At 39.6% G+C, this 25,503-nt stretch overlaps 3 pseudogenes; all 3 read left to right on the top strand.

Annotated features, from left to right (window-relative positions):
- On the top strand, positions 15,017–15,266 carry RNU7-86P (RNA, U7 small nuclear 86 pseudogene; annotated as a pseudogene).
- On the top strand, positions 15,117–15,166 carry LOC124900489 (uncharacterized; annotated as a pseudogene).
- RNU7-68P (RNA, U7 small nuclear 68 pseudogene) lies at positions 16,721–16,777 on the top strand (annotated as a pseudogene).

The following is a 25,503-nucleotide window of genomic DNA, read 5'->3' as shown; positions in this document are numbered from 1 at the left end:
TGCATATGTTGAACCAGCCTTGCATCCCAGGGATGAAGCCCACTTGATCATGGTGGATAAACTTTTTGATGTGCTGCTAGATTCGGTTTGCCAGTATTTTATTGAGGATTTTTGCATCGATGTTCACATGGCCGGGTACCCCTCTGAGACGAAGCTTCTAGAGGAACGATCAGGCAGCAACATTTGCTGTTCAGCAATATTCGCTGTTCTGCAGCCTCCGCTGCTGATACCCAGGCAAACAGGGTCTGGAGTGGACCTCCAGCAAACTCCAACAGACCTGCAGCTTAGGGTCCTGACTGTTAGAAGGAAAACTAACAAACAGAAAGGACGTCCATGCCAAAACCCCATCTGTATGTCACCATCATCAAAGACCAAAGGTAGATAAAACCACAGAGATGGGGTTTATTTCTTAATTCTATTCCATTCTTCTTATATGTCCGTCTTACACTGGTGCTACACTGTTTTGATTACTATAGCTTTTTGGTAAATTTTGAAATCAGAAAATGTGAATGTTTCACCTTTCCTCTTTTTCAAGATTGTTTTAACTATTTAGGTGCCTTACATATAATTCCATATGGATTTTAGGATCAGCTTTTTCATTTCTGCAAAAAAGGCCATTGGGATTTTGATAGGGATTGCATTGAATCTATATATCACTTTGGGGAGTATTGTCATCTTAACAATATGAAGTCTTCTAATCCATGAACAAAAGATGTCTTTCTGTTTTTAGGTATTTAAAATTTTTTTTTCAGTAAAGTTTTATATATGTCAGTGTACTTTTCTTGTCTCTCCCTAATTATGTTCCTAAATATTTTGTTCTTTTTGGTGCTATCATAAATGTAATTGTTTTCTAAATTTACTTTTCATGCTATTCATTGCCAGTGTATACAACTGTATACAGCTGATTTTTGCATGTTTATCTTGTATCTGGCATTTTTGCTGGATTCGTTTGCTAGCTCTTATGAATTTTTGTGGATTTTTAAGGAGTTTCTATTTATAGCATCTTTGCCATCTACAGTTTACTTCTTCCTTTCCATTTTGGGTGCCTTCAATTTCTTGCCTAATTTCTCTGAGTGGAGATTTCAACAATGTTAAATACGTAGCTAAAGTGAGCATTCTTGACTTGTTTCTGTTCTTAGGTGGGAAGCTTTCAGTCTTTCACCATTGAGTATGATGTTACCTGTGGGTGTTTTATAAATGCCCTTTATCTTATTGAAGAAGTTTTCTTTCTCTTTTATTTAGTTTTTTAGAGATGGAGTCTCGCTCTGTCACCCAGACTAGAGTGCTATGATACAGTCATGGCTCACTACAGCCTCTACCTCCTGGGCTCCAGCAATCCTCCCACCTCAGCCTCCCAAGTAGCTAGGACTACAGGCACCTGCCACCACACCTGGCTAATTAACATTTTTTTAATAGAGACAGGGGTCTCACTGTGTTGCCCAGACTGGTCTCGAACTCCTGGCCTCAATTGATCTGCCGTCTTGGCCTCCCAAATTGCTGGGACTACAGGAGTGAGCCACTGCCCGGCCGGAAGTTTTCTTTCATTCTTAGCTTTCTGAATGTTTTTGTCATTAAAGGGTGTTGAACTTTGTCAGATGCTTTTTCTGCATCAATTGAGATGATCATGTGGTTTATTTCCTTCATTCTATTCATGTGGTGTAATACATTGATTTGTTTTCATATGTAGAATCACCCTTGCATTCTTGGCATAAATCCCATTTGGTCATGTTGTCTAATCCTTTTGGTATGTTGTTGGATTTGATTTGCTATTATTTTTTGAAGATCTTTGCATCTATATTCATAAGGAATATTGATCTGTACTATTCTTGCAGTATCTTTATCCAGCTTTAGTATCGGAGTAATGCTAGTGTTATACAATGAACTATCAAGTATTTGGTCTTCTGTTTTTTGGAAGACTTTCAGAAGGATTGGTGTTCATTCTTCTTTAACAGAATTCACCAGTGTGAAAGTCAGAGGATGATGAAAAAAAAAAGAGAATTCACTAGTGAAGCTGTCTGGTACCAGGCTTTTCTTTTGGGGGATGTTTTCGATTATTTAGTATCCTACAGGTCTGTTCAGATTTTCTATTTCTTTTTGCATCAGTTTTAGGTCATTTGTATATTTCTAGGAATTTGTATTTTTTTGTTTGTTTGTTTTTTTCGTGTCTTTTTTTTTTTTTTTGAGATGGAGTTTCGCTCTTTTCGCCCAGGCTGGAGTGCAGTGGTGTGATCTCGGCTCACTGCAACCTCTGCCTCCTGGGTTTAAGAGATTCTCCTTCCTCAGCCTCCAGAGTAGCTGGGACTATAGGCGCACACCACCACGCCCAGCTAATTTTTGTATTTTTAGTAGAGACGGGGTTTTACCATGTTAGCCAAGATGTTCTCGATCTCCTGACCTTGTGATCCACTTGCCTCGATTTTCTCTTAGATATCTAATTTGTTGGCATACAATTGTCGATAGCAATCCTCTTTTCTTTTTTTGAGACAGGGTCTCACTCTTGTCACCCAGGCTGGAGTGCAGTGGCACGATGATAGCTGACTGCAGCCTAGATCTCCCAGGTTCAGGCAGTTCTCCTACTTCAGCATCCCAGGTAGCTGGGACCACAGGCATTCACTACCACACCTAACTAGTTTTTTTTTTTTAATTTTTTTGTAGAGATGGGGTCTTGTTGTATTGCCCAGGCTGGTCTCAAACTCTTAAGCAATCCTCTCACCTCGGCCTCCCAAAGTGCTGGTATTACAGGCGTGAGCCATTGTGCCCAGCCTCATGGCAATCTTTTATCATCCTTTTTAATTCTGCAAGATCAGTAGTAATATCCCACTTTCATTTCTGATTTTAGTAACTTGAGTCTATTCTATGTTTTTCTTTTTTTTTTTTTTTTTTTTTGAGACGGTATCACCCTGTTGCCCAGGCTGGAGTGCAGTGGCACAGTCACAGCTCACTGCAGCCTAAACTCCTGGGCTTCAGCGATCTTTCTGAGTAGCTGGGACTACAGGTGCATGCCACCACACCCAGCTAATTTTTTAAAAATTTTTGCAGAGATTGGGTCTCCCTATGTTGCCCAGGCTAGTCTTGAACTCCTGGCCTGAAGCAATCTTTCCATCTTGGTCTTCCGAATTTCTGGGATTACAGGCGAGAGCCATCATACCTGGTCTATTAGTGATTTCTAATTTTACTCCATGTGGCCAGAGAAGATAGTATATGATTTCAGTCTTGTTAAATCTATTGAGAGTTGTGTGGCCTAACGTGATTTATCCTGGAGAATGTTTCATGTGGAGTTGAGAAGAATGTGTATTCTACTGTTTTGTGTGGAATGTTCTGTATATGTCTACCGAGCCAAGTAGGTTTGTAGTGTTGTTCAGTTTTTCTATTTCCTTATTGATCTTCTGTCTAGTATTATCCATTATTGAAAGTGGGGTATTGAAGTCTTCAACCATTATTGTAGAACTGTCTATTTCTGCCTTCAATTCTACCAGTTTTTACTTCATATATAGTGGGACTGTTAGGTATGTCTGTTTATGATTATTAATACCTTACCCCTATATCAATATATATTATTGTTGTCTCTTGTAATAATACACTTTTTTACTTAAAAGTCTATTTTATCTGACATTAGTGGAGCAACCCTAGCCCTCTTTTGGTTTGGTTTGCTTGCAATGTCTTTTTCCATCCTTTCTCTTTCAACTTGTTTGTGTCTAGAACCTAAAGTGAGTTTCTTGTCGACAATTTATAGTTAGATCTTGGTTTTAAATCCATTCTGCCAATCTCTGACTTTTGAAATTGGAGAGTTTAATTTTTTTACATCTAAAATAATTACTGATGAGGAAGGACTTCTGTCATTTTGCTATTTGTTTTCTATGTATCATATTTTTTTTGTTCCTTAATCCTTTATTACTGCCGTCTCTTGTGTGTGTTTCTTTTTAAATTCATGGGTTTTTTGTTCACTGCTGTACTTGATATATATGAAGTAACAAATACTGCATTTTTACTTATATATTTATTCTTGGTTGAATTAATTTTATAATCATAAACATCTAGTAGAAATAACATAAGCTTACTCGACTAGTAAACTCAGAATAAAAGTTGTGTGTCTGCATTATATTTAATGCTGATGCTGACAACTCTGAAGGCATTTTCTTTTCTTTTTTTTTTTTTTAACTAAACCAACAGTATTATTTACCAAAGATTACCAGTCAAGTGAACTTGAAAAGCATTTGGGTTAGTTCTTCTGTTTTCTAAGAGAATACTTAATTTATGTAAGTTTCTCTTTCTGTCCTTTTTTTTTTTTCTTGAGACAGTCTTGCTCTGTCGCCCAGGCTGGAGTGCAATGGCGCTATCTTGGTTCACTGCAACCTCCGCCTCCTGGGCTCAAGCAATTCTCCTGCCTCAGCCTCCCGAGTAGCTGTGATCATAGGCACATGCCACCATACCTGGCTAATATTTGTATTTTTTGTAGAGATGGGGTTTCGCCATGTTGCCCAGCCTGGTCTTGAACTCCTGAGCTCAGGTGATCTGTCTGCCTCGGCCTCTCAAACTGCTGGGATTACAGGCGTGAGCCACCATGCTCGGCATTTTTTTTTTTTTTTTTTTGGACACGTGGTCTCTGTTACTTATACTGGAGTGCGATGGCAGGATCATAGCTCACTGCAGCCTGGAACTCCTGGGCTCAAGCAATTCTCCTGCCTCAGCCTCCTAAGTAGCTAGGACTACATGCACAAGCCACTATGGCTAGCTAATTTTTAAATTTTCTTTTGTAGAGACGAGGATCTCGTTATGTTGCTGAGGGTGACCTTAAGCAATCCTCCTGCCTGGGCCTCCCAAAGTTCTAAGATTACAAGCCTAAGCACCACACTCAGCCAGGTTTATTTTTCTTAAAGCCAGTGAAGTAGACCTTGTTTACAAACTACATAATACCATGGGGATAGAAAAATGTCATATCTACAGAGACATACATAAACATACAGATACAAACAGATTTTACAGCTTTCATTTAAAAATTTTAGCCATGTATCAGGTACAATAATATGAAACTCACTCGTTTGTAAGAGAATAGCTGTATCTAAATTGTGTTTCTAGCAGATAGAGTAAGTTAAGGTTACCTACTCAGATGGCTAAAGGTTTTTACAAGTATTTGTGGAAAAGACAAGATTCTTCATTTGCCCAATTTCCAAACAGCTCCTTTTTTTTCCTTCAGGTGAGAGTCATCTCCTTGAGATTTTCATTTCAAAAGAGATAGCCCTCAGGCCCTAGAGAAGAAATTTTACATCTCAAAGACACAGAGAAAGGATGAAAGTTCTCTCCTAGGAGTTTTGTAGCATATTTGCCTATTTCCAGAGGTCAGTCATGAGGCTGTGGACTAAAATGTAGGTGACTGAGGAGACACCTAGTGGTTGTCTATCTCCAAAGCCCATCGGAGTGGATGAAATATCCAGTCTATTTCTAACTAGCCTTCCTTTTCTTTTTAGCCTCATGTAATTGCTTTTGGATGTCCCTAAGTCTCTTGAGAGCCAGAGTTCTACAGTTCAAGAGACTAAGGGGCTGGAGTGGGAAGGTAAAAGGTCTCACAGTAGTGGACAGAAGGATGGAGGAGGTAGGGGCTTGGAGGGGGAACAGATCAAGGTTCAAAGAAACTGAATTAAAGATCGAAAGTGGCAGAAGGAGGAGCAGAAGCAACGGGGAGGAAGAGGTCTTAGCACCAGTTTGGGGAGATCTTAAGTTTTCTGAAGAAGCCAATGAAGTTTCAAGTTATTAGCAAAATTGTGTCAACGAAAAGGAGGTGGCCAGAGTTGGCAGAGCATATAGTTTGCAGGATTTTGAGAAAGGAATTTCAGTTGACTGAGGTTTCCATGGAAGGAACAGGATCAAAAAGAATAGAGAATATTCCTGGCAGAATTGAACTCCTTTTTTTTTCTTTTAAACCAAAGGTGTAATCATAATATGTTTCTTGCCCAATGTACACAGCAAATCAATATGCTGAGATGCTGGGTTACAGCAGAGAAAGAGGTTTTTGTTTTTTGTTTTTGAGACGGAGTCTCGCTCCGTCACCCAGGCTGGAGTACAGTGGCACAATCTCGGCTTACTGCAGCCCATGCCTCCCAGGTTCAAGCAATTCTCCTGCCTCAGCCTCCCGAGTAGCTGGGATTACAGGCGCGTTACCACCACGCCCAGCTAATTTTTTTATTTTTAGTAGAGACGGGGTATCACCATGTTGGCCAGGCTGGTCTCAAACTCCTGACCTACAGTGATCTACCTGCCTCAGCCTCCCAAAGTGCTGGGATTACAAGCATGAGCCACTGCGCCCGGCCGAGAAAGAAGTTTAATGGTAGGATAATTAAAGAGATGGGAGGAAACCTCAAATCTATCTCCCCAAGGAATTTGAGGTTAGGGTTTTAAAGGGTTTTGGAGTGGGCCAAAGTGTGGAGATTGTTGATTGGTTGAAGAGTGCAGGATGAAGTCATAGGACTTGGAGATGAAGAAACTGTATTCTTGGCCAGGTTGATGCCTATAATCCCAACACTTTGGGAGCCCAAGGCAGGAGGATTGCTTGAGGGAAGTAGTTCAAGACCAGCCTGGCTAACATAGGGAGACCCCATCTCTACAAAAAATTTTTTAAAATTAGCTGGGTGTAGTGGTATCTACCTGTAGCCCCAGCTACTAAGGAGGCTGAGGCTGGAGGATTACTTAAGCCCAGGAGTTTGAGGCTTTAGTGAGCTATGATTGTGCCACTTCACTCCAGCCTGGCTGAGGAGCAAGACTCTATCTTAAAAAAAGAAACAAGTATATTCTTGTGCTGATTTGGTTCCTCTCTGAGGGTCTTGAAACTGGTTGGCTTCAGCCTTTCCACTAGAATTCAGGATCCTGAGAATATCTTAAGCAGTCTTTAAACGAAAGCCTTATAATTCCAATGTCAGAGATCCTATCTATAGGAACAATGGGAATGCAAATAGTCAGTATCTAGTACTACATGACTTTCAGCAAAAGGAAAGTGGGCCAAAGGGCAGCCTGATTAATTTTTAACTATATTTCTGTCCAGAACCTGGCATGCAATTCATGTCACCCCACTGGGGATATTTTCAGAGTTATATTTATCGAGTGACTTGACCAAAACCAATAAGCCCTTAATGGCTTAACTGTGGGTATAAGGGGTGTCTTCATAGAGGGTGCAAAGATACAGCCCTCCCCCCAACTGCCAAGATCCAGAACCACTCCCAGAGATAGCCAAAAGACAGAGAATCCTCTGAGAGCTGGCAACAGTTGGTAGGACCCTAGATACAAGTAGGGTGCAACCCCCATTTCTGTCCGGCCATATTATTGGGGGCTGCCAACCTTTCAGTTGGCTGCCTGCAAATACAGGCTTGATAACCTGTGTGCCCGGACAGGTAGAAAGCCAAGCTAAGCTTTCAGGACACGAGACCAACAGGAAAGCAAAAGCTGTCTCTGAGAGGGAAAGGATCAAGCCAGAGTCATAATCCAAAAAAATCAATTGGTACAGATGTTTTCCTCCTGCTAATCAAAGTTAGAAAGTAAGGAGCAAAGAAAAGTGTTTGCCTTCCTCTTCTCTACTAGGTGCTACAGACAGATCCAGGAGAGTTGACTTTGGTAAGAATTCTTACCCTTAGCCAGCTTCTGTCAGTTTCCCCGGGATCTCATTGGCAGGTTCCAGAGTGAGCAGGGTACCCCAGAGATCCTATCCTCATCACCAGAAACTCTAGGGGAGGAAAGATAATTTTCTCTCTACCCTTCATAGTTGTTAATTGTGATGGACTCCTGTAACAAAAGATAGATTCACAAGAGAAAAACAGTTTAATAGCTTGTACAGCAGTCCCCCCTTATCTGAGGAGAGTATGTTCCAAGACCCCTGGTAGATGCCTGAAATCACGGATAGTACCAGACCCTATATATACATTTTTTCCTATACATACCTATACTTCATTTATAAATTAGACACAGTAGGAGATTAACAACAATAAAATAGGACAATTGTAACAATTTGCTAGCATTACTACTCTTGTGCTTTGGGGCCATTGTTAATTAAAACAAAGATTACTTGAACAGAAGCACTGCAGTACTGCAACAGTTGATCTGATAACCAAGATGGCTACTAAGTGACTAATGGGTGGTATATACAGTATGGATGTGCTGGGCAAAGGAATGATTTGCATCTTGGGTGGGATGGAGCAGGACGGCATGAGATTCCATCATGCTATTCAGAATGGCATGCAATTTGAAAGTTAGGAATTGTTTATTTCTGGAATTTTCCATGTAATATTCTTGGACCATGTTGACCACAGGTAACTGTACCCAGGGAAAACAAAACTGCTTATAAGGGGGGACTATTATATGCCTCATGTATACATCCAACCAGGGAAGGATGAGTAAATCTCCCCTTCTGTTGTATTTGATTGATTTTTTTTTGTAGTATACCGTTTTGATTCTCTTCTCATTTCCTTTTATGCATATCTTTTTTTTAAATAGAAGCAAAGTATCACTGTGTTACCCAGGCTAGACTAGAGCTCCTGGGTTCAAGTGATCCTCCCTCCTCAGCCTCCTGAGTAGCTGGGAGTATAGGTGCACGCCACCTCGCCTGGCTTATTTTCATATATATATCTTTTAGGGTTTTTTTCTTAGTGGTTACCCTGGGGATTATGATGGGCATCTTAAGTTTACAACTAACTAGTATGAATTAATACTAATTTAGCTTCAATAGTATATATAAAAACTGCTTCTATACAGCTCTACCTCTCCTCCTTTATGTAGTTATTGTCCCAAAGTACATCTTTATATATTGTGTGCCTATTTAGAGATGAAATCTTTCTCAGATTTCTTAGTCTGAAATAGCCAATGAGACATTCTTAAGTTGAAAGCAATATAAATATTGGCACGAGTTGCTTTTAGATATTCAATTGTTTTGTGTTAATTTAAAAATCCCTTCTGTGCATAAACGCATTTTCTTTTCATTAACTATATGTCAGAAGTTTGTTTCGTTGGTTTGTTTTTGTTTGAGACAGAGTTTCACTCTGTCACCCAGGCTGGAGTGAAGTGGCGTGATCTTGCCTCACTGCAACCTCCATCTCCTGGATTCAAGCTATTCTCCTGTCTCAGTCACCCGAGTAGCTGGGATTACAGGCATGCGCCACCACGCCTGGCTAATTTTTGTATTTTTGGTAGAGACGGTTTCACCATGTTGACCAGGCTGGTCTCGAACTACTGACCTCAAGTGATCTGCCCGCCTCGGCCTCCAAAAGTGATGGGATTATAGGCGTGAGCCACCGCGCCCAGCCTATGTGTCAGAAGTTATTTTTTTAAACATTTGGCAGATAGAATTTTTTATTAAGTACAAAGAAATTTTTCCTTTGTTGATTTGTTTAAATCATTGGTGTGTGAATATCTTGTGAAAGCATTTTAAAAAGTGGTCATAAGATTCTTCAGGCCGGGCGCGGTGGCTCACGCCTGTAATCCCAGCAGTTTAGGAGGCCGAGGTGGGCGGATCACCAGGTCAGGAGTTCAAGACCAGCCTTGCCAACATAGTGAAACCCCGTCTCTACTAAAAATACAAAAATTAGCTAGGCATGGTGGCGTGTGCCTATAGTCCCAGCTACTCGGGAGACTGAGGCAGGAGAATCGCTTGAATCCGGGAGGCGGAGGTTGCAGTAAGCTGAGATCATGCCACTGCATTCCAGCTTGGGTGACAGTGTGAGACTTCTTATTAAAAAAAAAATTATTTGTAATGGTTAACATTATACCTAAAAGGGCAGTATGGAATTTGCTGGATTTTTAAAAGATAACACAAGTGAGAAGCAAAGACAAATTTTCTTAGAATCAGGCCTACATAATGAATTAGACTTCTGTCCTAAAACACAAGCAGCAATTCAGACTATGGAATTAGCATCTTTCAAAGGTTTATTTCTAATTCCTCTTTGAGTTAAGGATTATGAGGCAGAAAGATAACTGTATAAGCATTTTCCTCTTTATCTTTCAAACATATTAAATTTTTAACATAATTTATATAATGTTCAGGAATTTCAAGTATCCTACTTAATATGGTTTTTTTTTTTTTTTTTTTTTTGAGACGGAGTCTCGCTCTGTCGCCCAGGCTGGAGTGCAGTGGCGCGATCTCGGCTCACTGCAAGCTCTGCCTCCCGGGTTCACGCCATTCTCCTGCCTCAGCCTCCCAAGTAGCTGGGACTACAGGCGCCCGCCACTACGCCCGGCTAATTTTTTGTATTTTTAGTAGAGACGGGGTTTCACCGTTTTAGCCGGGATGGTCTCGATCTCCTGACCTCGTGATCCACCCGCCTCGGCCTCCCAAAGTGCTGGGATTACAGGCGTGAGCCACCGCGCCCGGCCCTTAATATGGTTTTGCATGTGATTGTTTAAGAGGAAATTAGATATAAACAGGTCAAATGTTTTAACCAAAGATAAGAGTAGTATGAAAACCTCAAGCCTCTTTGAATGCATGAGGCCTCTATTAGCCTTTTCACCCTACTCTCGTGTAGGAACTAATAAATGGAGAGTCACTTCCTTTGCAATTAAAAGGAACAAGAAAAGATTATTTCAAACCAGTATATATAATTCCTACCTAAAACAGATCACTAGATTCTGTCATCTAGGAATGAGTATTTTGGGCATATCAGGCTCTAGTATACACTAGAACATTCTGCTAATTTAATTTCTAATTTATTGTTCTAAAGCACGTCATTAAAATGTACTTTTTATTTTATTTTATTTTTTTGAGACAGAGTCTCGCTCTGTCACCCAGGCTGGAGTGCAGTGGCACCATCTCGGCTCACTGCAACCTCCACCTCCTGGGTTCAATCGATTCCCCTGCCTCAGCCTCCCGAGTAGCTGGGATTACAGGGGCCTGCCACCACACCTGGCTAATTTTTGCATTTTTAGTAGAGATGGGGTTTCACCATGTTGGCCAGGCTGGTCTCGAACTCCAGACTTCAAGTGGTCTGCCCACCTCAGCCTCCCAGACTGCTGGGATTACAGGCATGAGCCACTGCGCCTGGCCTAAAATGTGCTTTTTAGAAGAAAGGAGTGGGATGCAAGAAGCAATGATGACCAAAGTAATTGATGAAATATATTCATATACCTAAATAAGTATTGACTAAAAATAAAAATTACTGATTTTGTTGGGGAAGATTACAATAAGAGTAGCACTAAAATACTAGACAAGCTAACATGGAAGATGGAAGGTAAAAGTTTGGAGTTAAAATGTATTAAGATCTTTGTTTTATTCAAAAGGGGAATAAAGTATATACTAACTTTGGACTGTATGCATATTAAAATTTAAGGGTACCGAGAAATGTCACCCCTAGGTATTTTCCAAGAGGAATGAAAACTAATTCTCACACAAAAGACTGTATGTAAATGTTTATGGTAGTTTTATTTATAATTGCCAAAAACCTGAAACAACCCAAATGTCCTTCAACTGCTGAATGGGTAAATAATGGTACATCTGTGTAATGGAATACTACTACTCAGCAATATACAGGAATGAACTATTGATACATTCAACAACACAAATAAATCTGCAGTTCATTATTTTAAGTGAAAGAAGCCAAAGTCAAAAGGCTACATAAGGTATAATTCCTACATTACATTATGCAAAAGGCAAAACTAACAGTGGAAAACAGATCAGTAATTAGCATGGGTGGGGGTGAGAGGAGGGATATATAAAGGGGTACTAAGAGGGAATTTGAGGCATGATGAAACTCTTTGGCATCTTAATTGTAGTAGTGTTTACACAGCTCTGCATTTGTCAAAACTCAGAGCTGTACAACAAAAATGAATTATACTGTATATAAATTAAAATATATATTTTTAGGCTGACTCAAAAAGAATTAGAATGTCCAACATCCAAACCAGTAGAAGGGGGAAACATGATCAGTGAAACAGGGAAAGAAGGAAAGAAGCCTAGAAAAAGTAAAGTTAATACAAAGCACAAAAATAACATTGGAGAGATAGTTCCAATATAACTAATCAAAAGGCCGCATACAAATCAGAAAGACAACTTACAGTCTGGGAGAAGACATTCATAGTGCATATAACCAACACAGGATTAATATTCAGAAAATATAAGTAGGTTTCATAAGTCAATAAGAAAAACAGGTAAGTTCAAAAACGAGCAAAGAATATGAATAGGGGATTCACAGAAAAGGAAACCCGAATGACCAATACATTAATAAGATCAATCTCACTATGGTCAGAGGAATGCAGAATAAAACTGTAAGGTATTGTACTTCACATGCATCAGATTACCAAAAATGGAAAAGCCTTACAGCATTAAATGATGGCGTGATGAGGAATGTAGTCTCATTTATGGTAGGAATATAAATGGGCACAACTACTTTGAAAAGCAATAGTAATATTTAGTAAGATCAAAGCTGCTGACATCTTATGACTGAGTAATTCTAATCTTAGGATATACATCTCACACTATGTTTGAAAAGAAATCTACAAGAATGTTTATTTCTGTATTGTCTGTAGTGAGTATTAAAAAAATGGAAACAAGCTATGAGTGTTCAACAGAATGGATGAATTGTGTTACATTTATAAAATACAGTGTTATATAACAGTTGAATGAATTAGTACTATATGTGTCAACACAGATAAATGTCTAAAACAATGGCGTGCAAAAAAGCACGGGAAAATACATCCACTGTGATACCATTTATTTAATTTTTTAAAAATTTAAAACTAAATTACTTTTTTAAAATTTAAAAATGTTTATAATATTTGAGGACACATATGAGACGATTTGCTTTACCTAATATCAACAAAGTGAAGAGACAACCCACAGAATGGGAGAAAATATTTGCAAACTGCCCATGTGACCAGGGATTAATAACCAAAGTATATAAGGAGTTCAGACAACTCTAAGAAATATAATCTATTAAAAAAATGGGCAAAAGATTTGAATAGACATTTCTCATCAGAAGACATATAAATGGCAAACAGGCATATGAAAAGGTGCTCAACATCACTGGTCATCAGAGAAATGCAAATCAAAACGACAATGGAATATCATCTCACCGCGGTTAAAATAGCTTATATCCAAAAGACAGGCAATAACAAATGCTGGCAAGGATGTGGACAAAAGGGAACCCTTGTACACTGTTGGTGGGAATGTAAATTAGTACAGTCACTATGGAGCACAGTTTGGAGGTTTCTCAAATAGCTAAAAATTGAGCTACCATATGATCCAGCAATTCTGCTGCTGGGTATATACCCCAAAGAAAGGAAATCAGTATATTAAAGAGATATCGGCACTCCTATGTTTCTCGCAGCAGTGTTTACAACAGCTAAGATTTGCAAGTAACCTAAGTGTCCATCAACAGATGACTGGATAAAGAAAATGTGGTACAGATACAAAATGGAATACTATTCAGCCATAAAAAGAGTGAGATCCTGTCATTTGCAATCACATGGATGGAACCGGAGGTCATTATGTTAAGTGAAATAACCCAGGCCCTGGAAAACTAACATCACATGTTCTCAGTTATTTGTGGGGTCTAAAAATCAAAACAATTGAACTAATGGACATAAAGAGTAGAAGGATGATTACCAGAGGCTGGGAAGCATAGCGGGGGCCTGGTGGGGAGGTGGGAATGGTTAATGGCTCCAAAAATAAAATGAATAAAACCTACTATTTGATAGCACAATAGGATGACTATAGTCACTAATAATTGTACATTTTAAAATAACTCAGTGTAATTGGATTGTTTATTAACTCAGTGGATACATGCTTGAGGGGATGGATACCTCGTTCTCCGTGGTGTGCTTATTTCACATTGCGTGCCTGTATCAAAACATCTCATGTACCCATAAATATACACACCTACTTTGTACCCACAAACATTTAAAAAAAAGAATAAAAGGAATGCTGTAAACAACTTTATGCTCATAAATTCAACAACATAGAAGAACCAATTCTACAAACTATAGGCCACAAACCACAAAAATCACAAATGATCAAAACTGAACCAATATAATCGGAATAGTCCTATAACCATTAAATAAATTGGGTTTATAACTATAAAGCTCTCAAAAAAATAAATCTCCAGGCCCATGTGGTTTTACTGAGAATTCTACCAAACATTTGAAAAAGATTTTACACAATCTCTTCCAGAAAATGAGAAGGAAACACTTCCCAACTCATTTTATAAGGCGATTATTAACCTGATACAAAATTCTAAGACAGTATCGGAAGGAAGGAAGGAAGAGAGGGAGGGAGGGAGGGAAAGGGAAGGAGGGAGGAGAAGGGAAGGGGGAGGGAGGAAGGAAGGGAGGAAGGAGGGAGGGAAGGAAAGGAAGGAAGGAAAGGAAGGAAGGAAGGGAGGGAGGAAGGAAGGAAGGAAAGAAGAAAGGAAGGAAGGGAGGGAGGAAGGGAGGGAGGAAGGAGCCACAGACCAGTATCTTTTGTGAACATAGGCACAAAAACTACTCCACAAAATATTAGCAAATAAAATATAATATTTTATATAAACGACTATACACCATGATCAAGTAGGATTTATTCCAGGTGTTTGTACTTGTCAGGGTTCTCTAGAGAAACAGAACCAGTAGGAGATGAAAAAGAGAGAGAGAGACACACACAAGGAATTGAGGAATAGGCTCATGGAATTATGGAGGCTGAGAAGTCCCATGATCTGTCATCTGTAAGCTGGAAACCCAGGAAAACTGTTAGTATAATTTAGTCTGAGCTTGAAAGTTTGAGAACCAGGAAGCCAGTGGTATAAATCCCAGCCAAAGGGCTGGAGAAGATGAGATGAGATGTCTCAATTCAGGCAAGCAAACAGGAAGCAAAAAGGGCAGTTTTCTTCTTTTTCCACCTCTTGTTCTATTCAGGCCCTCAGTGAATTGGATCATGCTCACCCACATCAGGGCAGGCAATCTACTTATTGAGTTCACTGATTCAAATGATAACCTCACCTGGAAACATCCTCACAGACCCAGAAATAATGTTTAATCTAAGCACCCATGGCCAGTCAAGTTGAGACATAAAATTAGCCATCACAGTACAGGCATACCTGGGAAATGACGCAGGTTCAGTTCCAGACCATCACAATAAAGCAAATATTGCAATAAAGTGAGTCACAAAAAGAAAAAGTCAGTGTTACAGCTTTTAGAATTTGTCTAGCAGGTTTTCTGGAAAACCTTCACAAAAAAAGGAGAAAGAGTGCATATAAAATGCTTATGTTGATACCATACTGTAGTCTATTAAGTGTGCAATAGCATTATGTCTATAAAACAATGTACATACTTTAAAAATATTTTATTGTTAAAACATGCTATCACAGAGACACAAAGTGAGCACATGCTGTTGGAAAAATGGTACTGATAGACTTGCTTAATGCAGGGTTGCTACAAATCTTCAATTTGTAAAAAACATAATATCTGCAAAGCACAGTAAAACAATGTATGCCTGTAGTCAAGCGTGGTTCAATACTCAAAAACCAATGTAATTCACCATATCGATAGGCTCAAGAAAGAAAATCATATTATCATATTCATTGACACAGAGAAAACATTTGACAAAATCCAACACCCATTTATATTTAAAAAAAAAAAAACCTTTCAGCAAGTTAGCATGATAGGGGAACTACCTTAACTTGATAAAAGGCATCTACAAAAACCCTACAACTAACATCACAGTTAATGGTGAAAGAGTAACTGGCTTCCACCTGTTTAGAAACCAGGCATGGATGTTCACTCTCATCACTCATTCAACATAGTACTGGAAACACAACACAATAAGACAAGAAAAAGAAATAAAAAGAACACCGATTAGAAAGGAAGAATAAATCTGTCCTTACCTGAAGATGGCATGCTTTTCTATATAGAAAAGCCTAATGAATCTACCAAGCAAATAAACAACAAAAATCCTCTACAACTAATAGGTGAGCTTGAAAGTTTGCAGGATTCAAGATTAACGTGCAAAAGCCAAATGTATTTCTATATATTAACAGAGAGCATGTGGAAACCAAAATGAAAAACACTATACCATTTATAATTGTTCCAAAGAACAGTACATACTTAGATATAAACTTAACAAAACACATACAGGATCTGTATGGTGAAAATTACAAAATACTAATGAAAGAGATCAAAGAAGACTGAAATAAATGGAGTGCCATAGCATATTTATGGATTAGAATACACAACATAGTAAAGATAGCAATTCTTCCCAAACTGATCTATAGATGTAATGCAATTCCTATCAAAATCCCAGCTAGGCTTTTTGTAGAAATAAACAAGCTTATTCTTGAAAAAGAAGAATAAAGTGGGAGGAATTACTGTATTTGATATTAAGCCCTAATATGTAGTTACAGTAATAAAGACCGTGTGATATTGGTGGAAATATAGACATACAGATCAATGCAACAGAAGAAAGAACGCATCTGGTTTTTTTTCTTCTTTTTTTATTATGGCAGAGTACATGTAACATATAGTTTGCTATTCCAACTGATTTTTGACAAAGATACAACAGCAAATCAATGGAGGAACAATAGCCTTTTTAACAAATGGTGTTGGCACAACTGGACAACTGTAAGCAAAAGAAAATGAACTTCAATCTAAATCTCACACCGTATTAAAAAAAACTCAAAGTGGGCCACAGACTTAGATATAAAATGTAAAACTATAACACTTTTAGAAAAAATATAGGAGAAAATCTATGGGATTTAGGGCAAAAGCATGATTCAAAAAAGGAAAGTCAGTGTTACAGCCCTTTTAGAATTTGTCTAGCAGGTTTTCTGGTTTTCCAGAAAACCTCCACATAAAAAGGAAAAAGAAAAAAAGGAAAAAGTAATAAATTAGTATGAATTGAGCATTTTAATGATTCTATTTTATTGCCTTTGTTGGCTTATTAAATATAACTCTCTGTTTTGTTATTTTAGTGGTTGCTTTAGGTTTTATAGTAATACATCTTTAACCTGTTACAGTCCACCTTCTTTTTGTTTGTTTGTTTTGGAAGCAGAGTCTCACTCTGTCACCAAGGCTAGAGTGCAGTGGCACTATCACGGCTCACTGCAACCTCAACCTCCCAGGCTCCAGCGTTCCTCCTGCTGCAGCTTCCTGAGTAACTGGGACCACAGGTGCACACCACCACACCTGGCTAATTTTTGTATTTTTTATAGAGACGGGGTTTCACCATGTTGGCCAGGCTGGTCTTGAATTCCTGGAGTCAAGTGATCCACCCGCCTTAGCCTCCCAAAGTGCTGGGATTACAGGTGTGAGCCACCTCTCCCATCCCAGACCTTTTATATGGCATTAATCCATTCATGAGGCCAAAGCCCTCATGACTTAATCATTTCCCCAAAAACGCCACCTCTTAATACCACCACAGTGGAGATTAAGTTTCACCATGAATTTTGAATGAAGCACATTCAAACCATACCACTATTGTTGCCATGCATTTTTTCTACATGTTATAAACTGCACAATACAATGTTATTATTTTTGTTTTAAGCCAAATATAAAGATTTAAATTATAAGAAAAAAAATCTTGTGCATTTTACCCATGTAGTTACCATATCCAGTGCTCTTCATTCGTTTGTGTAGATCCAGATTTTCATCTGTTATCATGAAGGACATCTTCTAACATTTCTTCTAGTGGGGTATCTGCTGTTCCTTCCCTTATCCCAACAACAGAGCAGGCCAGTCCCTCCCTACCTCAGGCACATACTCCACAGCCACTAAGAAGGACTAATCCCTGGAAAAGCTCCAACCACTAGCCTTTAACCAACCAATGAAGAAATAAAGATATGGTGACCTGGAGAGAGCACTGGACCTAGGGACACAAGAAGTGAGTTCATGTCTATCTCTACTCACTACATAGTGACACCGTGAACATTCCTGGGTTTCACTGTTTTCATCTGAGAAGTGGGGGAATAATTTTCTTAACTTCATTCACGTGATTGTTGTGAGAATGAAATTAGATAACAGAGGAAGGCTGGTGGACTGTAAGGAGCATATTGGATCCTTCCAATTCCAACATAAACACTTCCTAGTTGTGTGACTTTGGGAAAGTTACTTAACTTTTCAGGGCCCTAGTTTCCCAATTTGTAGAATGAGATAGTATCTGTCTCACAGGGATGGATGAATGAAATGAAAAAAATATTTAGAAGTGCCTGACCTAGGTCAGGCACGGTGGCTCACACCTGTAATTCCAGCACTTTGAGAGGCCGAGGCGGTGGATCACCTGAGGCCAGGAGTTCGAGACCAGCCTGGCCAACATGGCGAAACCCTGTCTCTACTAAAAATACAAAAATTAGCTGGACATGGTGGCGCTTGCCTGTAATCTCAGCTACTCGGGAGGCTGAGGCAAGAGAATGGTTTGAACCCAAAGGCGGAGGTTGCAGTGAGCCAAGATCATGCCACTGCACTGCAGCTTGGGTGACAGAGAGAAACTTCGTCTCAAAACTAAATAAATAAAATAAAATAAAATAAAAGTGCCTGACCTGTAATAGGCATTCAGGAGATGGTAATACATTGCAAAATCTAGATAATACCTTCTAAAATCCTATAGAAATGGGGTAAGGGGATACACAATAGGAGGAATTTTCTGTGTTGTTTTTTGTTTTATTTTTTAGATGTGACCCTCCTTCATAAACATTGATTATTTTAGCTCTTTGCCATAACATCTTTAAATTCAAGATGTCACAATAATAGATTTTGGAGAAACTCAGGGCCATCCTGTGTCATACAGGATTAAAAAAATACTTTTGGAAAGTGGACAGAGACCTCTAACTCCACCTTGACCAGCCAAAAATAAGTGCTCTGGAAATTAGCCTAAGACACGCATTTCCCCAGTCAAAATATATGGTTCTTATAGATGTTTTTGACCTTCGTTGATGCAGCTTTCTTCACACGCTGCATGATTTAGTGTTTGTCCATTAGAACGTTTACTACTCTTAACTGTTCATATGTATTTTGTACAATCCTGCTAATTTTCATATTTATTTATTTCTAATTTCATTTATTTCTTTTTTCCTTTTTTTTTTTTTTTTTCCTGAGAGACAGGGTCACTTTGTCACCCAGGCTGGAGTGCAGTGTCGTAAACATGACTCACTGCAGCCTCAACCTCTTGGGCTCAAGTGATCCTCCCACCTCAGCCTCTCAAGTAGCTGGGACAACAGGCGTATGCCATCATGCCCAGCTAATTTTTTTTTTTTTTTTTTTGAGACAGAGTCTCTCTCTGTCTCCCAGGCTGGAGTGTAGTGGCACGATCTCGGCTCACTGCAACCTCCACCTCCTGGTTTCAAGCGATTCTCCTGCCTCAGCCTCCCGAGTAGCTGGGACTACAGGCATGTGCCACCATGACCGGCTAATTTTTGTATTTTTAGTGGAGATGTGGTTTCATTATGTTGGCCAGGCTGGTCTCGAACTCCTGACCTCGTGATCCACCCACCTCGGCCTCCCAAAGTGCTGGGATTATAGCCGTGAGCCACCGCCCGGCCCATGCCCGGCTAATTTTAAAAAAAATGTTTCGTAGAGATGGGGTCTCATTATGTTGCTCAGGCTGGTCTCAAACTCCTGGGTTTAAGCAATCCTCCCACCTCGGCTTCCCAACCTGCTGGGATTACAGGCCTGAGCCTTTGCACCCGGCTCTAATTTCATTTATATTGTAACCCTATGTCACTTCTTACTGGGACTTTCAACACTCTTTATATGTATCAGATATATAATATGTTAATAACGTTCATTAAACTACTCAAACATAAGCAAAATCACAGCAAACATGCCTGATGAACCACCAATGCCAGAGACCAAAATGGCAGCCAATAACCATCTGCTGGTGGCAGAGTTGATGACATTTGCTCTTCACATGTGGTTCTCTAAGAAATGTTTTAAGCAGAGGAGTCTCTGTGTATAGAGAACTTACTACGTGGCAGGCATTGTGCCAGGATTGGGAAATGCAGTGGGGAGCAAGCCAAATCTACTCTCTGCTCTCCCCAAATTCCCAGTCTAACAGAGGACACAGATCAGGAAGTGGACAGTTGCCATACAGTGTGGTGAGATGATGGGGAGCCGAACACCCACAAAGAAAGGTCACCTAATCCAGGCTTGGAGAACAGAGAAGACTTCCTGAAGGAAGTGATGTCTAAGCTGAGCCAGTAGGACGGGTAACATTGAGTCAGGCAAAGATGGAGGGAAGTGGGTCCTAGGCAGGGAACATGGTCTTTTCAGAGAGCTGAGTGATGAGGAAGGCTGGAGAGGTAAGTGGAAACCAGGCCACACAGGGCTTTATAAGCCATGGGAAAGAAGCAGGGAGTAGTTGGGTCCTCTGGAAGAAGACCTTGAAGTCTCAGCTGTCTCTTTCACTTAGCACTGTGAACTTGGACAAGTTACATATGCCTTTAAGCTTCAGTTTCCTCATGTGTGAAATGAGGACAAGGCTGGTCACGGTGGCTCACACCTATAATCCCAGCACTTTGGGAGGCTTAGATGGGAAGATTACTTGAGGCCAGGGGTTCCAGACCAGGCTGGGCAACATAGCAAGACCCCCACCTCTAAAATTTCCCTTTTTAAATTAGCCAGGCATAGCGGCACATGCCTCTAGTCCTAGCTACTCAGGAGGCTGAGGCAAGAGGATTGCTTGAGCTCAGGAGTTCGAGATTGTCTGGGCGACAAAGACCCTGTTGAAAAAAAACCAGAAAAATGAGGACGATATTCTAATAATAACTACCTCATAAGCTTAAGCTTAAGTGTTAAAAGTGGACATAAGTTACCAAATACATAATATGTGCTCAATAAGTATCAGGAATTTCTGTTCTCTTATTTTTTAGAGATGGGGTCCTTAGCAATTATTTCTATATTATTTCCTCTAAATACGAAGTTGACATTTTGGCTGTTGGAGACTTGGTGGTTTCATAGATTTGTACAGGTTATATGTATGTGTGCATATATTATATAATTATAATATAAATTAATTACATAATTATTTAATTATAATTATTTATAATATGCAATTATATATATAATTGCATGTTGGCTTTTTATCATTCCTATGCATTAAAAACTTTTTTTGCATTTACATGTTTTTGTTTATAATCTTCGTCTTTTGCTTGTTTGTTTTTGTGACAGTCTTGCTCTGTCGCCCAGGCTGGAGTGCAGTGGCGTGATCTCGGCTTACTGCAACCTCTGTCTTCTGGGTTCAAGCGATTCTCCTACCTCAACCTCCCAAGTAGCTGGAATTACAGGCGTGCGCCACCACGCCTGGCTAATTTTTGTATTTTCGGTAGAGATGGTGTTTTGCTATGTTGCCCAGGCTGATCTAGAAATCCTAGCTTCAAGCGATCTGCCCGCCTCGGCCTCCTAAAGTGCTGGGATTACGGACCTGAGCCACGGCGCCTGGCTTATAATCTTAGTTTTGTTGATTACGAAATTGTTTTATATATTGATATAGTGCTATTCTGTCTCCCTTTCTTTTCTAACTTCTCGTCCATGGCTTTATATCTTAAACATTATTATACTTCCTCCAGAGACAGTGTTTTCTCTCTTCCTCCGTCTCCTTGAAACTTGTTGGTTTTGTGCCTTCCTGCTTAGGGACTCTAAATTGGTACCGCTTAGGAAAGAGCGCCCTCTGGCATTCATCCGGTGTCAGTTCAAGAGACCATTTTCCATTACTGCGGTCTGTGGTCCCTGCCTGCTGGCTATGAGCGGAAACCTTCAGTCCCGGAGAGCGTGGAGGTTGTTAAAACTGTAGGTTTCACAATTTAAAAAAAAACCCGGCCGGGCGCGGTGGCTCACGCCTGTAATCCCAGCACTTTGGGAGACCGAGGTGGGGGATCACCTGAGGTTAGCAGTTCGAGACCAGCCTGGGCAACATGGTGAAACCCCACCTCTACTAAAAATACAAAAATTAGCCGGGCGTGGTAGTGCATGCCTGTAATCCCAGCTAATCAGGAGACTGAGGCAGGAGAATCGCTTGAACCCGGGAGGCGGAGGTTGCAGTGAGCCGAGATCACGCCACTGCACTCCGGCCTGGGTGACAGAGCCAGACTCCACTCAAAAAAAAAAAAAAAAAAAAAAAAAACCCTCTGGCTGTTATAAAATGTCCTTGTCCTTGAAATGTCGAAGGTATCACACACCTACTTATCAATATAAAGCCCACATTAATGTATCCATGCACAAAGATTATTACATACAAAGAGACTTCCCTAAAAGAAAAAGCACAAGGATTTGGAGCCCTGGCATCTAGGTCTACATATCCACTATTACTGTGTGGCCTTGGGAAAGTCTTTCTCTCAGTTGATCCTCTCATTTTTAAAATGAAAATGTTATATTAGATCGATATTTTGCAAAATGTTTTGTAGAATACTCTCTATTATGTTGAAGGCATCACACGCATACAAAAGAGAGAGGGGAGGAGAGGCTACATTATCAAATAAATTTGGAAACTGAGGGGTAAGCAAAATAAAAGTGTTTATTGCAGGACTTTGGAGAGATTTTATAGTGCTAAATACGTATTATGAATTTACAACACATGTCTACAGTTTCCCAACACCAGTTGACAACAGAATCTTTTGCTGACAGAGCACCTTGCAGGATTCTGTAATAATGCAGTATCCTTGCAATGTTGTAGTATTCTTGCAGGATTCTGAGAAAAAATAATTTTGAAAATGCTGGTCTAAGTCTGGCCAACATGGCAAAACCCCGTCTCTACTAAAAAGACAAAAATTAGCCAAGTGTGGTGGTGCACACCTGTAATCCCAGCTACTCAGGAGGCTGAGGCAGGAGAATTGCTTGAACCTGGGAGGCGGAGGTTGCAGTGAGCTGAGATTGTGCCACTGCACTCCAGCCTGGGTGACAGAGCAAGACTCTGTCTCAAAAAAAAAAAAAAGAAGAAAAAAATAAAAAAGACAAGACAAGCCAATGCTGGTCTATGCCACCATTTAATTTGGCAAATCTTCCTGATCACTGGATCCCTTTGCTAGATAAAGACAAGGCCAGGCAACTAATGTGCTGTTAGGACGCCAAGTTAATGGTAAGGAAAATCTAACAATAATCATGAATATAGCCTCTTAATCATAATAACAACAGCAATGATAATAGTTCATGTTTACTGGGAGCGCAACATTCCAAGGCACTGTACCAAGTGACTTATAAACATTATTTCATTTCATCCTTGCAACAAACCACTGAGAGAATTTATATTATTATCATCACCATTTTAAAGATGAGGAAACTTGAGGCCAAGGCAGGCCAATCGCCTGAGGTCAGGAGTTGGAAACCAGCCTGGCCAGCATGGTGAAACCCCGTCTCTACTAAAAATACAAAAATTATGACCGGGTGCAGTGGCTCACTCCTTCAATCCTAGCGCTTTGGGAGGCCGAGACAGGCAGATCACTGGAGGTTAGGAGTTCAAAACCAGCCTGGCCAACATGGTGAAACCCCGTGTCTACTAAAAATACAAAAAAAAAAAAAAAATTAGCTGGGTGTGGTGGCACACACCTGTAATTCCAGCTATTTGGGAGGCTGAGGCAGGATAATTGCTTGAACCCAGGAGGTAGAGGTTGCAGTGAGCTGAGATCACACCACTGCACTCCAGCCTGGGCAACAGAGCGAGACTCCGTCTCAAAAAAAAAAAAAAAAAAAAAAACACCAAAGATGAGGAAACTTAGTATGAGAGTGATTGAATAGCTTAAAGTCACAAAACTACTAAGTGTTAGAACTGGGATTAAAATCCAGGCTGTCTGCTGCAAAAGCTAATATGGTAAGTATGCTATAGTTAAGGTGACCACATAACTTCTTGTCCAAGTTGATGCACTTTTGAGTGGAGAGCTCTGAAACCAACTATATAACTTTTCTGAAATATTTATTTTGTACCAAAAATTGATTTTATTATATTAGTGTGCAAAAACCGTTGTCAAAAGTAAAATGCTTTATTTAAAAAACAAAGATAACATTCATCTGTGTATATTAAAGCAAAATGTTATTTATATTGATTATCTGAAAATTTTCAAATAGCCGGAGTAATTATTATTGGTACATGTTCACATAGTCTAATCAGTTTCTTAGTCCTGTCTTATAATGGATCACTGGTATTTTTGTGAAGAAGGTATTGTTTCAATATGATTTTGTTATTTTTATTTTATTGTATTTTTTGGAAACAGAGTCTTGCTCTGTCACCCAGACTAAAGTGCAGTGGTGCGATCTCCGCTCACAACAACCTCCGCCTCTCCTGTTTGAGCAGTTCTCCTTCCTCAGCCTTCCGAGTAGCTGGGATTACAGGCGCACGCCACCACACCTGGCTAATTTTTGTATTTTTAATAAAGACAGGGTTTCACCATATTAGCTAGGCTGGTCTCAAACTCCTGGCCTCAAGTGATCCGCCTGTCTCCACCTCCTAAAGTGCTGGGATTACAGGTATAAGCTACCATGCTCGGCTGATTTTGATAGTTTTAAACTTTAAAATAAAATGGTCCGCAATCATTTTTAAACTTGCATTTTAGGCTGGGTGAGGTGGCTCATGCCTGTAATCCCAAAACTTTGGGAGGCCCAGGAGGGCTGATCACCTGAGCCCAGGAGTTTGAGACCAGCCTGAGCAACATAGTGAAAACTTGTCTTTATAAAAGAGAAAAATTTGCATTTTATGGCTAAGAAATTTGAAATTGTTCATACCTTCAATTATCTCATATCTGTAAACCATACTATTTTTAATTTAGAAAATACTATGTCTGCAGGTGCTGAGATAGTATTGAGGTGAGTACCCTGCACCTCAAGTTCAATAAATGGTATACATCTTAACTATAGCATGCTTAGTCACAATTACTTTTTTTTTTTTCAGATGGAGTGTTGTTTTGTCCCCCAGGCTGAAGTGCAGTGGTGTAATCATGGCTCATAGCAACCTCGAACTCCTGTGCTCAAGCAATCTTCACGCCTCAGCCTCCTGAGTAGCTAGAACTACAGCTGTGTGCCACCATGCCTGCCTACTTTTGTTTTATAATATGTTGTTGTTGTTGCTGTAGAGACAGGATTTCTTTATGTTGCCCAGGCTGGTCTCAAATTCCTGGCCTCAATTGATCCTCACACCTTTGTATCCCAGAGTGCTGGGATTATGGGTGTGAGCTACCTACCCCAGACTCACAATTACACTTTAAAAAATTAAAATGGGTAATTATTTCATTTCAAATATTCTTACAGAAACTCTCTAATCAAAACGTCATTCTTCAACGAATATTTTCACAAGACAAAACTCATGTAAAAAGTTGTCTCTATGTTTCTTTTGAAAATTTTGCCAAATGTGGATGCTGAAAATCATAGGCCTTCTCAATTTCATTCCATTCAGGTACAGAATAGAAATCTGTCTAATTAAAATATTATCAAATTAAATGTATTCAACTAAAAAAATAAGAGCACTATCAACACGTCAAGTGCTTTCTCTCAAGTCAACATATTCCAAAGCACAATTATAGAATTTCACAGTTAAATCCTATTTGTTCATTGTTCACCATTACAGCTCTAGTTTGTTTCAGTCCTTTTTTTAGGGTT

The sequence above is a fragment of the Homo sapiens genome, chromosome X (genome assembly GCF_000001405.40).
Source record: "Homo sapiens chromosome X, GRCh38.p14 Primary Assembly".
In the NCBI taxonomy this organism is placed as follows: domain Eukaryota; kingdom Metazoa; phylum Chordata; class Mammalia; order Primates; family Hominidae; genus Homo; species Homo sapiens.
Note: the sequence above shows the minus strand (reverse complement) of the source record. Positions and strands in the feature narration are given on the sequence as shown.